This window comes from Homo sapiens, chromosome 20 (genome assembly GCF_000001405.40).
Source record: "Homo sapiens chromosome 20, GRCh38.p14 Primary Assembly".
NCBI classification, from domain to species: Eukaryota; Metazoa; Chordata; class Mammalia; order Primates; family Hominidae; genus Homo; species Homo sapiens.
This window is the reverse complement of record NC_000020.11, coordinates 22,764,157-22,778,258: the sequence shown is the minus strand read 5'-3', so window position 1 is coordinate 22,778,258 and position 14,102 is coordinate 22,764,157. Positions and strand designations below refer to the sequence as shown.

Genomic DNA, 14,102 nt, shown 5'->3' with positions numbered 1-14,102 from the left:
GAGACCCTCACATGTTCTTCTACAGGAATGGGTACTAACGACATATTAAAATCATGCTGGCACTGGTATATTGTGGTTGCTATGATTGATTATTTGTGTCCCTCCAAAATTCATGTTGAAACACCAATGCAATTGTATTAAATGATGGGGCCGTTACAACATGATTAGGAGGTGGTGGGATCAGTCCCCTTATAAAATGGCTTGGGGGAGTCTGTTTTACCCTTTTGCTCTTCCACCATGCAAGGACACAGCAAGAAGATGCCATCTTGGCCTATGGCTGTACCACCCTGAATGCTCCCAATATCATCTGATCTTGGAAGCTAAGCAGGATCAGGCCTGGTTAGTACTTGAATGGGAGAAGATGCCATCTTGGAAGTAGATAGCAGCCCTCACCAGACACTAAATCTGCTGGTGCCTTTAATCTTGGACTTCCCAGTCTCTAGAACTATGAGAAATAAATTTACATTATTTATAAATTACCCAGTCTAAGGTATTTTGTTAGAGCAGTAGGAATGGACTAAAACAGTGATCTTCTAAAGGAGAGAGCATCTACCTATGGGTCACTGGTAAAACATATCCTTTCCTCTGATCTGATATATGTCTGGACCATAGCCATGCCCAGGCCAGCTGCCATCTCAGAGGCATTGGAGAAGGCCAGCCATCAAAAGGCAACTCGTTGTTATCCATGAAATACACAGGTTCAGCCTGCCCAATGAGTTGTTCGAATATGTAAGTTGAAGATGTTCCATTGACATTGGCTGCTTATGGCACTTTTCCAAGGAGGATTGGAAGGAGGACCAGGAAAATCACTGGCTGCATTTTCTAAAAAGTGGCTCTTTATAATTTTATTTATCAATAATACAATATAATTATGAAGAGCTGTACTATGGGTAAAATGGGAAGTCTAGGGGCATGGATTACAGTAGGAGCCATCAGAGTTAATATAATACTGCCCTTCTTACACGGCCTCAGGAACCCCAGCCCCTGCTTCACCATATTGACCCTGCAGCACTGCAGTCTGTTCCTTCGCAGCTTCACACCACCCTACCCGTCACAACTGAACCTCCCACAGCACTGGGGTAGTGTTTGCTGCTGGGGACTTTCCATAGTAGAAAGTTCTGCCTCCTCTATGATGGCTTCTCTTGCCAGCTCTGCCTCAGGCAAGTTGCATGAGTTCTCCAAGCTTTCTTGTTCTGTCTCTGAGTGTGGGATAAAATCACAACTGCTGTGAAAGGATGTTGAAGCACCTAGTACATGCTCAGTAAGACGCCTCATGGCGTCTCCATCGATGTGTTGTACTTTAATTTTCTGTATGTGAATGGCTTATTTTCTCAGATGGTGAGCTACTTGAATACTGGTAAGGTGTGTAATCCTTCTTTTTATTCTAGATAAGGTTTTGATATCTTCTCAGTAAACACTTCCTGCAGATTGAATAAACAAGGTATTCTCTCTTCCCTATCTTCCTGGCTAGAAATATTTCCCTGCATTATGGAATGAGAGTAATCTCTGATGTCTGCTGGTCTTCATCAATCAAGGATCTTCACATGGTGGTGACACAAGAAAGAGACCCCAGAACCATGAACTTTGATGCCACCAGGAGCATCTGAACTTTGCTGCGGTCAATGGTCACAATGATGGATCCTGATTCATCATGACTCGTGGTGTCCACTTTTAGTCTGGCTCTGGGCTTGGCCATATGACTTGCTCTGGCCAATCACACATCAGTGACATGATGCAAGCAGAGGCTCAATAAGCTCATGTGCTTAGGGCCTGGGTGCTTAGTAGCCTCATGAGGAGCCAAAGGAAGACCAGCAGAAGAGCTGCCCCTCCACCACAGAATGAAGAATAAGGAAAGATGAGCATGCCGTTGTTGTAAGACACTAGATGTTGGGGTGACTTGTTACACAGCAATAGCTGACTGAGTATTAGCTTTGTTCCTTCCAGGTGGGCTTACTGGGAGTCTGGAGGCATGGTGGCTGGCAGATCTTCTTGTCAGCCTTGGACACTCTTGTCTGTATACTGGTAGAAAAATCCTGGGGAAGACTTCTGATCACTCATGCTAGGGCGACAAGTACATCAAGGTCTATTTTCTAGGCCAGGGCAACAGGATGCTGCGTTTGACTCCCCTGGTTTTATATTCCTGTCCCTGAGGTCAGAGAGTAAGCTCTCCAGAGAAGAATAAGCCAGGGTGGAGAGAAGCTTGGCAAGAAAAGCAGACATCTATTGTCAGGTGTCTGTGCCCCTGACTCATGGGTGAGTGGCTTCTTTGGAATTCATGAGTTGCCCTATGTTCTGGAACAGGATGAGACTGTCCAGGAACTATCTTATCAGGTATTTATGCAATCGGCATTCCTCTCCACTTGGAAAAGTGCACATCTCTACATCTCTGTGTGCCTTTCAGGACTTTCTATCCATTTATCATTTTCCTTTATTCCCATAGTGCTTTGGTCAGTGTTTCTTGGATGTCCACAAGGAAACTCTTCCTCTTTGAAGTATTACCTTCTCCTGCCCAGTCACCCTGCTGACGTGGGTCAGAAGAGCAAAGAATTTCAAACATGTTCACCAAAGCCTGGGATTATCTCTTTAGCTTTCATTTTAGAAACTTCCCTCCCATTTGTTTCTTATTTCTTCATAGCTCCTATGAATTGAACACATAAGCATGCACACAAATACACAAACACACAGGCACACACACACACACATGTGACACTCTCACAGTAATGCAGACACACATAGACACACATGCAGAATTGAGTGTGGAATGCATGTGTTGTTGGGGAGTGTGGGCTGCTTGCTCAAGCTAGCAGCCGCTTTCCACAATGACCCCACTGACCCTGCTCTTTGGGAAGCAGCATTTCTGCCTGCTAACTGATACATTCCTCTTCCAATGGATATTCTATCTCACACTGCCATACTGCTTACCACTTCTGAAAACTTGGTGCAGATTAGCTCCTCAATCCAAAATGGCCCTGTGGGAGAGGTATCAATGCCTCCACTTTTGTGTGCAAAGCAAACAAGTTTCAGTGCACTGAAGTCAAGTAGCAAACCCTACTGCTTGTCTTCTGGACACTTAAAATTCAAGTACAAAGCTGAGCTCACCGTAACTTTCCCCAACCCAGTATCTTATTTCTTGATGTTTCCTGTTTACCATATTTACCCAGTTGCTCCCACCCCAAGCTGGGCTGGCAGGTCCCCCTTCTCCCTCAGCCCCACATAAGTCCAGCAGCAAGCCCGGTGGATCCTTCCTTCAACAGGTGTCTCACACAGGCCCGGGTCCCTTCTGCTGATGTCTCCATCCTAGAGCAACCCAGCACCACCTCCTGCTACTGAAGCTGCTCCCTAATTAGCCTCCCTGTGCCCACTCCCCTCTCCATTGTTCTATATACAACAACCGAAATGAACTTTTCAGACTGGGTGTAAGCTAAGTTAAGCCTCCCCTCTGCATAAACCCTCACCGGCCTCCCTCTGCTCCATGAAAGCTCCAGTCCTCACCATGGTCCCAGAGGCCCCCTGTGGTCCAGTCCCAAATCTATTACTGGCCTCTTTACTCCATCTCTTTAGTTCGCAAGGGAATGAAAATTCCCTTCCAGATTTTCCCACCTGCTCTTCCTGGGGACTTCAGTCCTGGAACTCTGGTTCACACACTCCTCCCTCTCTTCTTATGGTTCACTCCCATGCCCCATTCTCAGAGGCCTCCACTTAGTCTTGTGCCCCCAGAGAGGTTTTGTGCCTCCACAGCGTGTTTCCAGAATTGCAGGTGCACTTTCTCCTCAGGTGCAAGGCCCCACTGTTCTGTATGCAGTCTGTGCTCAGTGGGCCTGGAATGAATGATGGGTTCAAAACCTGGAAATGTCTGCCTGTTTAGATGACACAAGAGGCAGCCCCCAGGAAGGCAGTGGCTCGGAGGAGAAGGACATCAGCCTGCAGGATCAGAGGGAAGAGACCCAATCTCTTCCCTGGCCTCCTATATTTCTCTCAATCCAGGGCAGCTGCAGGAGGGAAGGAATGTGATCACATAAGGCAAGATGTGTAGGGAGACTAAAGACCTGCTTCAAAAGTATGAAGGGGCGTTTCTGGTTGGAGGCCAGCCATGGTTTTCAGCAGGAAAAGGAGGTATGTGTTAACCTACTAATGAGCTTATATTCCCTGATGCTGACCCTGATGTGCACCCCAGGCTGCCTATATTTTCCACTTTACAAGAGTGTTTGGGCATCATTAAAACAATCCACATGTCATTAACCAAGAGTACACTAAGTGCCAGGCCAGTCCTTCACATTTCAAATAAGTTGTAAAACACTCCCCTTTTCCTTTGGGGTGTAGAAGCAGACTGTGGACCTCAATTCCCTCCTCCATGAATTAATGGATGTCACTAGATGGTCTGCACACTGCTTCCTCTCCCCCATACTGGGTTCTTCAGATTTCCAGCAGGCTGGGACGTGTGTCCCTAAGATGTGACACGGGTTCTGCAAGGCTTCCACAGTGTGCAGTTCCATGGATAAAATATCTTCCATGAAGACTTCTAGAAAACAATAGTGCATTGTTTCTACCCTCCCCAAAGGACTGGAGTTTCCCGATTTTCTCTAGAGTCCTTTGTTTTGCTGTTGAAACAGTCTGTAATTTACCATTTTTCCTCTTTCCTCTTATCCTCCAGATTTCTCCATTCTCAGTAAGACATTACTGGAGCAGTTGCCAGGAAATCCTGCTTTGAGTGCACTCACTTCCCGGCCCTAGGAGAAATGTGGTCAAGTTAATCATTCACTTTTCCAAGCCCTTCTGCAATCTTCCTTCAAGAAAGGAGATCAAACCATTCCCTCAGTGCTGGCTTTGAGTTTTCTGATCCTCATAAGGAGAAGACTAGGCTAAAACCATTCAAACGTTGACTTTGCCACCTCTTAATGAAGAGCCTTCATCCTTTCCTAGTGCAGACATTCATATCTCTATTCTTAGAGAGAAGTTCTAGCCTCACGGATGATTATCAGGAAACATTTTTTTGTCTTCCATGTTAATTGTGGAAGCTTATCTCAAGCTACATTTTATTAAGATAGGATTTAATATTTTATGCTAGAAAATCTAATGCTAAAATAACAACCTGTAGCTCTCCCTCAGGTCTGCAATCAGACATGGCTTCCCTAGTTTCTGGGAGGTTGTGTGGCATCACCAAGAAAGGAAGACTAAGGGAATCACAAAAACAAGCTCAGTAACGTGGGACCTTGAACTTAACACACAAACCCTCTAAGGCTGAGATCCTGATGAGGAAAATGCAGCACAGAACAACCTTCAGCACAGGTTTATGAGCCCAGGAGAGCTCAGCACACAGTGAGCAGCGGGCCAGGAGCTGGTGTGACTGAACTCTGCGTGTTTAAGTCCCTGCTACTTACAAAGAGGTGGTCACTGTGCTTTTCATGTACGTGTTCAGTAAATATCAGTGAATTGCATTCTTTCTGATATTAACAAACTATACGTTTTGTCTCCATAGATATCTGAAAGAGCAGCATTCTAGAACTCTTTAGGGGCCTAGCCAGAAGGTCGGATTTCTCACAAGTCTGCCAGCTCTTGCCAGCCGCCCTCCATTGCTGTGTGTCCACTGACTATTGTTGAGTGCAGTCTTCTTGCTCCTCGCATCCCTGACAGCATCTGCAGGAGATATACTTAATTTTCCAGGAAGCTGGCCATTTCTCAATCCATAAGAAATGCCTCTGCAGAGATCAGGAATCATTTGCACTTCCCACTGTTTTTTTTAATTTGGTATGTTTGTTTTCTCCCCCAACTCTAATTTGGTGTTAATTGTTTTGTTGTTGGTGGTGTTCCTTTTTCAGATTAATGATGAGGTTCTCTCAACATCTAACTCGGAGCAAAGTCTTCCCTTCCGTACTGTGTCTAACATCTTCTTGTCCTTTTGGGGACAGGGGGACTTAGGGCCTTTGGCATTGGACACCATGGATTCAGATTTTTCTCCTTGGACCTGCTTCCTGGGAAGAAATCTTACTCTTTGAAATCCTTTATCTTTGGACATTGTTCATCTCATTCTCCTCTACCCCCACCACACCAAGTTACATCACCCATTGCAGTCACAACCCGTTTGGGTGATAGCTTCTTGTGGAGCAGCTGGACCCTGGGCTAGACCCAGAAGCTAGACCTGGAAATGAACTGGCAAGACACCCATGTCTGTATGCCGCACTGGTGGCCTCTATTAACTCTCCCTCCAAGTAGAGAATGCCAGCATGATTGTTTGCTCTGCCTGGGTGAACTGCTTCCTCTCCAGTCTTTCCAGATCCCTGGCATCCAAGTGGAACATACGTGAGTCTACCCCCATCCTCAGAGAGCTGACTGAAGGTTCTGGTCTTACAGCCTAGCTCCGGCAGCGCTCAGCCTCCCGAGTTGCTGTGATTCACAACTCTTTATTTAGTGAAACATGAGACTCACAGGTGACCACAGATGCCACTAGCAGATCCAAAACTACAACAGGGAGAGGATGACCTACTTTGCACAATAGACTCAATTTTCTGCAACAGAGATCCTTATTACAAACATACAAAATAGCATATTAAGTGAAATAACGGGTCCATTCAGTTCATTCAAGCCAGTATTCTATCTCCAAAAAAGGCATGAAGAAATGTCCAATGAGGAAACCTGATGCCACGTCTTCAAGGCATCTTTCTCCACCTCCCCCACCCCTGGGTATCTCATGCAACAAGCCTCCCCCATCTTATGGATGAGGGGAAATCCTCAATGTCTTCATTCTTTCATACTCTATTCAAAGCACCTGCTTCCCCTGAGCACCTTCTTTTCTGAAGGTTGTTCTCACTTTATTCCTCCAGCTCCTCTCTTTTGCAAATGTTACCCTTCTTCTTGGTAACTTAAGGGCTGGGGAAAAAACCACTGTTCATCAGTGTGTTTAGTGACCTCCTCCCAGAGACTCCTCCCTCAGAGCCACTCATGCTCCCTCCTCATCCCAAGCTGTGTCTAGCCCTATGTACACTCCTTAAAAAAATGCTTGGTATAGGCAAGTGTGAAGTTTGCAGCTGGTAGAGCAAATGACTCCCTAGCTGTAGGACATATACCAATGGCTCCCAGTTGAGGAGATGAAAATGCAGAATGTCAGTTCCTCTTCCTTTGCTCACTTAAACAAAGAGCCTCTAATGCCCAAAGCCTGACTTGACTTAGAATCTTTTTGTATGGCATAGGAGATTAGGCTCAGTCCTCACTCTTGATTTACTTTTTTTTTTTTTTGTATGTGTTCCTTGGTTTTGGGTAACAAGTAAGAAAATCAGATATTATCAACAACTCTTTATTAAATTCATCCTATTACTATTCTCATATGAAAAAATACAGGACATTTTATCAAGCAAAGGGAGACAGGGAGCAAAATATCCCACTGCCAAGGTCAGAGTATGCTGGAGCTGTGACAGGCTGCGAGTGCAGTGTGGAGCAAGACTGTGAGTGCAGCAGCTTATTTTGGGGGTGACCCCAGAGAGTAACAATGGGGAATGGGGTGAGACAGAGGAGGAAGGCCATAAATGACACATGTTCAGGCATCTGTGGGCTACTGAAGCTTAGTCCCTCTGGGACTTCCCTGTCCACAGTGCTGCCCCACCCCAGGAGTGAGGAAGCTGGGCCAGAGGTCCACTAACTCCCATTACCCTTGATTAAGTGCACATTCTAGGGATGTCTTTGCTGCCCCACATGAGAACCAAGCACATTCCTGTGCCCAGAGGCAACCCTTGAATGGGGGATTTCACTCACATGCAGTAAAAATGTCTGTAGAGTGCATGGGGCAGTGAGTGCTCAGGGGACACAGGAGGGTGTGTCAGCATAGGCTTGAGGAACCCTGACTCATTCCTACTCTCTATACTCCCTGATGTAGCCATTTTTATTTTTTCTTGTTCTTTATTATGTTGTATGTAGGTAAGTATGCAGGTGTACATGTGTATATGTTTGTGTATGTGTGTGTGTCTGTATTTATGTAAGTGTGTGAATCTGTGTCTGTTGGTGTCTGTCTGTATGTGTGTGTCTGTCTGAATGTGTGTATATATATATTTACATTTGTTGCCACGCTAGTTGATATGGTTTGGATGATTGGCCCCTTCAAATCTCATGCTAAAATATGATCCCCATTGTTGGAGGTGGGGCCTAGTGGGAGGTGTTTAGGTCATGGGGGTGGATCCTTCATGAATGGCTTGGTGCCCTCCCTGCAGTAATGAGCAAGTTCCCTATTAGTTCATGTGGGAGTTAGTTGTTTAAAGAGCCTGGCACCTTCCTCCCTTCTCCCTTTCTCCGTCTCTTGCCATGGGACATGCCTGCTCCTCATTCACCTCCCACCATGAGTAAAGGCTTCTTGAAGTCCTGACCAGAGGCAGATGCAGTTTCTATGCTTTGTGTACAGCAGGCAGAACTGTGAGCCAAATAAACCTCTTTTCTTTATAAATTACCCAGACTTAGGTATTCCTTTATAGCAATGCAAAAAGGACTAACACCATAGTAATCTTGTAAAACTCAACCAAGCAAAATTATTGGACAATCACAGGGTAAGTGGCACCCAGGTGAGTGTGTTCATGACTTTCTAGATGAAGAGTTGTCAAATTTTTCCTCTAAAAGGCCAGATAGTAAATATTTTAGGCTTTACATGCCATGTAGTCCTTGTGGTAACCTCTCTCCTCTGCTGTTGCAGTGGGAAAGCAGCCTGTGGGTTTGTACGTTGCCTGTGACTGCTCATGGATTTGCTGACCATGGTCTAGAGTATGATCTATGCATTCATTCTGTTCTTAATCACCTCCCAAACCCAGCCCTTCTCCATCAAAGTTTTCCCCTAAAAGAAACCACCTTCAGGATCTGAACACCTAAGCTCTAGTTCTTGAAAAGAAAGTCCCATTCAGGTCCCACTAGCATCCTAAAATAGCATAATCTGGCAAAATGCAAGTTCATATTTGTATTTCCCATGCTTCTTCACACACAGATGGACTTTATCTTCAAATATTATTTCAAATATAATCAATTTCTCTCTTTCCCTTAACCTATGGAATCATCATTTTTCACCTTTCCTTTATTGGTTGTTTATCTACAAATGTCACAAGTCTTTATCTTTGCTCTCCTCCCTTTTATCAAACCATTCTCTTCTCTGTACAAATAAAAAACAAGCAAATAAACACGGAACTGACTAAAAAGTGGGCCCTGAGTCAGGCTGTTTACTCAGCATTACTGGGCTCTGTCCCGAGCTGGATGGGGGCCTGATGGAATCTACAAGCTGAAAAGCAAAAACCTCTTTCCCTCTTCCCCTTGTCTCTTGTCTTCCTTCCCCAAGCTTCTTTCTGGGAACGAACAGCTTTCCCTGACCTACTAAGAGGGGCATCCCATACAGACTTTTGCATACCTGGGATTCCTCTCTTCTCTAGCTGAGGCCTGGGGGCCTGAGTTTGTTTTCACAGTTTGGATTCTTACACAACTTGGAGCCAAAAAAAATTCTACTGAGGTTGTACCTGCACAGAAGGACATCACTGTTTTTTTTTTTTTTTTTCCAGCAGCTGGAGGACAGGCAAGTTGTATTTTAAGCCTTTAATCTGAAGTTATGAATTACGAGCTTTTAGGAATGTGATCTTCAAAACACAGCTTATGTTGAGTTTTAAATGAGATTTATGCTAAACCGTGTTTGGGTACCAGACATAGCATATTGATTTGCACACCCCAATCTCTGCATACTTACAGTGGCTGGAAGCAAGAACTCTAGCTCCAAGGCAGCTCCATAAATTGTAAGCTTATTTTCAGAAGGTAGAGACTCATTTGTCCACCTCGCGGACAATGACTAACATAACCCTGTCCCAGGGGAGCTCAAATCCTGAAGCAAGATGGCCAAGAAAATGAGAAGCAGAGTCGGCAATAGCAGCAAAATGTCATGGTGCCATTCATGCCGGCACGAACAGTATTTGCTTTTCTGTCCTCCATTCCCCCTGCCGTCTGGGGTCTTCCTGTGCTTTGGAAATCCATCTGGACAGCTTCATAGCTCATCTCTGCTCCTGCTCCCACTGCCCTTTTTTGTTCTGTCTGAGATAGCTTTGCCACTCACAAATGAAAAGTTTGCTCACAGATTCTCTTATTTGAAGTTTACTGATTAATATAGTTGGAGACTGCACACGGGGTCCCATTGTCATAAATTCCTTAGTCTATCTGGGATTCCTGGTCTGTCATAGATTCCTTAGTCTATCCAGAGCAGGCAAGTCTGGATACCTCTGCTGTTCCTTCAGCACATCACCCCCCAGCGACCTACATGCAGCTCATCGGGACCCTAGGAGAGCTTCCCATATTCACAGAAGCACCATTATGGTTACTTATTGCTATGCAAGGAATATCCTCAAACTTAGCAACTTAAAACAGCTATTTTCTTTTGCTTGTAATTTGCAGGTCAGGGATTTGGGAAGGGTTTGACTGGGAAGTTCTCGCTTAGAATCTCTCAAGTACTCAGGCTTCAGTCCCCTGGAGGCTCCTCGAGGCTGGATGTCCGAGGTGGTTCACCTGGCTGGCAGGTGATGCTGGTTGTTGGCTGGAGCTCATCTGTGGTTGCTGACCAGAGTGCTGCACACCCGCAGGTGCCTCTCCAAAGGGCTGGGCTCCTCGCAGCGTGGAGGTGGCTTCCACACGGAAGTGTCCCAGAGGCATGTCCAAATAGTCAGTGGTCTCAGAAACCAAGGCTGAAGCTTCAGAGTGTATCCCCTGTCCTTGTAAGCTGCTAACCATCATTTACACCACAAGTGACTCAATGAGGCCCACCAGATTTGAGGGGAGGGGACAGAGATCCCCCTTCTCCATGGAGGAATGTCATAGATATGCACCATCTCATCCATGGCATGACCAGTGCCTTACACCAACCTGTTTGCACTGTGGAAGCCAATCTGAGTTGGCCATTCAAGGTACTGGGAAAGACCCCTCCAAGAGCAGGGAGAGGAGGTATCCCTGCCCTCCTGGAGAAAAGGGCTTGGCGTGGTGGAATGAGGAGGTTTGGATCACAAAGATGAAAGCTCAACATGCAGTTCTTCCACTAACTCTCTGTGTGGCCTCAAATGAGTGTTTTAACTGCTCTGACCCCCAGTCTCCTCATCTGTAAAAATAGGGATAATGCCATTCTTGCAGTCTGTTGTGAAAATTAAATGGAGTTAAATAAGATGTTGTATAAAATAAAGCTTCCTACAGACCAGTACCTGGCACATAGTCCTATGTCAGTCACATCATCCTGACAAGTTAGGAGCTATCATCGAACAGGACCTGGGGTGGGACCATGCAACCTCCTGAAAAGCGCTCTGCCTTGTCCAAGTCACAAGCAGAGGAGACAGGACAAGGCAGAGCTCTCTTCCTCTTTGCCTGTCCCGTTCCCCCTCAGTTTCTGTCATTCTCTTTCATTCTTTCCCTGTCCTGAATGTGCCTACTCCTTCCATTTCAAGCTGGCTCATTTGGGATTCCACCTGCTTCCATTGGGAAGCTCCGGGTCACTCCTTCCTCAGTCTTTTCCTGTGGCTTCCAAAGCAGGCTCCTCAAATTTGGCCAGGGCCAAGAGCACATGCCTAGCTAGGGCTTTGCCACCCACCCGGGTTTCAGTTGGTATCTGGTTAGCACACTGTCTCTGGGGTTTTGCTGTCCACATGGGTTTCAGGAGGTGCCTGGTCAATAGCACACCCTCTCTGGGGCTTTGCCATCTCCATAGGTTTCAGGTGGTATCTGGTCACTAGCACACACCTTGCTTGGATGTTGCCATTCACATGGGTTTCAGGTGGTGTCTGGTCAATAGCACATGCTTGGCTGGGGCTTTGCTGTTCATATGGGTTTTGGGTGGTGTCTGGCCAATAGCACACCCTCGCTGGTGCTTTGCCATCTACTTGGATTTCAGGTGGCGTCTGGTCAATAGCACATGCCTGGCTCAGGCTTTGCCGTCCACATGGGATACGGGTGGTGTCTGGCCTTAGGAAGAGAAGAGGCTGGGTGCTCTAATCTTCACTTAGTTCCTGACTTTTGGAGCCACAGCCTGTTTTCCATTGCTCCCCAAGACGAAAGCCACCCCTCCAATGCTAGTATTTTTTTCTCTGGGTGCAACAGCTCTTTCTGCTTCTTTTGAAGAGGAACCGTGACATTATTGTCTTAGAAATTTGGTCCCCAGATTACCTGGATGTATTTCTTAACCACCCAACATGGGTGTCCCAGTTCCAGAGAAATATTATATTTTCTCAGCTCTCTCCCAGATTGAAGACAGAGGGCTTCATTTATCCCACCTCACCAGGACTTGAAACAAACTCTCCCCAACTTTTCCAATCAGTCTTGTTCCCACCACATCATGCCACATCCATGTCCCTTAAAGGGTCTCATGTTCAGTGTAACTGAAGTTTGAGAACAGTGAGTTGTCTGAGACCAAACAAACATGTCATATTTAGGCAGCCTGGGGCCAGGCCTCCTTTTTGAGACATCATTAAGTCCACCATCAAGGCAGAGGCCCTGGACAGCCAGCACCCCAAGAAAGTCAGAGGAAAAGTACATGAACGTTACTGAAACACAATAACTACTTGCATTTCTGCCGCCCCTCCTCCCACCCCAGGCACATGCGAAATCCATTTTCCTTTTTAAAATGATCTGCAACTTACAACATTATTGAACCCAACAGTTCTTTTGTTTCACTTGTATCTTTTTCCAAATATAGTCCTGAGGGCAGAACATCTGTCAACAACTTTTCTACAGCCTAAATCCTTTCCTTAATCATGGCAAATCTTCTCAGGATATTAGCCGGCCTTTCTTTTGCTGTTCTTTCTTTTTTTTTCCTTTTATTTTTAAAATCCATCACTGTTCTCGTTGAACTTAGTTTCTCAGTGCTTGCCTCACCAACTCTGAAAATCATGACCTCTCTGCTGACCTCATCCCTATCTCTGACCACATCGTGGGAGCCTGGGACTGGGACCGAGAATCCACTTTGAACTGTGGTGTCTTCCTCTCATGCTCTGGCAAAGCCCACCCCATGGAGTGCCAACGACTGGGAGCCCCACTGAGAGCTTCCCTCTTGTGCGTCAGGAGAGCACCAGTCAAACAGGAGGCAGCCCGCTCACGCCCGCCTGATATAGTCACGTCCATTTCAAAGATGCTAACCCAAAAGCCCAGGAAGGCTGCATGGCTTCGCCAGGGACAGTGGCTGGAAGTGGCCGTAGCCAGATCTTCACCCATGTCCTATACCAACTCCAAGACAGCATCTCAGCACCTCCTCCTAACCAGCCCTGTGATGGTGGGGGTGGACAGGGAGCGGCTGTGCTTCCTGAGTCACATGTTAAGTTGCCCTCTTGTTCTAACATACACAGTGCCTGATCCAGCCCCTAAACAGAGCCCAGGGCAGCTTCCTTCAGCTTCCACAACACACCGAGCTCTCATGTACTAAAGGGATCTGGGTATCCCTGGTCCTGCGGAGGGCCTGAAACCTCTGAATCAAAGGGGAACTGAGCCCAGAACGTGTACCTCTGAGCCTCCAGCCCCTGCTTCCTGCAGCCTTTCACAGGCACACAGGCAAGCTGGGCACCCAGAGACTGCAAGGTCACAGGACATTGCTCACCCCCACACCTCATCTGATGGTTAAGGGAGGAGCCACCAGGAGGCATGAGTGATGCTGAGTGACACCGGATCACCAGATGAAGACCCAGGCCTCACGCCGTCCAGGTCTGCAAGTGGACAGCAGGTGACCATGGCCCTGAGATCAGAGCAATCATCCTGGACTTGTCAGGAAAGTGAACCCGAGTGGGGCCACCTCATTTGGGAACTTCTGCTCTACAGAGTCATGGTATTAAGATGATGGGTTGGGGCTGGGCACGGTGGCTCACGCTTTTAATCCCAACACTTTGAGAGGCTGAGGTGGGCGGATCATGAGGTCAGGAGATCGAGACCATCCTGGCCAACATGGTGAAACCCTGTCTCAACTAAAAATACAAAAATTAGCTGGGAGTGGTAGTGTGTGCCTGTAGTCCCAGGTACTTGGGATGGTGAGGCAGGAGAATCGCTTGAGGCAGGAGAATCGCTTGAACCTGGGAGGCGGAGGTTGCAGTGAGCTGAGATGGCGTCATTGCACTCCAGCCCGGGTAACAGAGTGAGATTCC

General features: G+C 46.6%; 1 long non-coding RNA gene across 1 annotated transcript; it reads right to left on the bottom strand.

Moving 5' to 3' along the window:
* Positions 1 to 4,042: 4,042 nt before the first annotated feature.
* LOC105372567 (uncharacterized) lies at positions 4,043 to 5,449 on the bottom strand. Its single transcript, XR_937350.3, has 3 exons — positions 5,379 to 5,449; positions 4,623 to 4,727; positions 4,043 to 4,519 (listed from the first exon to the last, which is right to left on the bottom strand). It is a non-coding gene; the product is annotated as an uncharacterized LOC105372567 (long non-coding RNA).
* Positions 5,450 to 14,102: the final 8,653 nt, after the last annotated feature.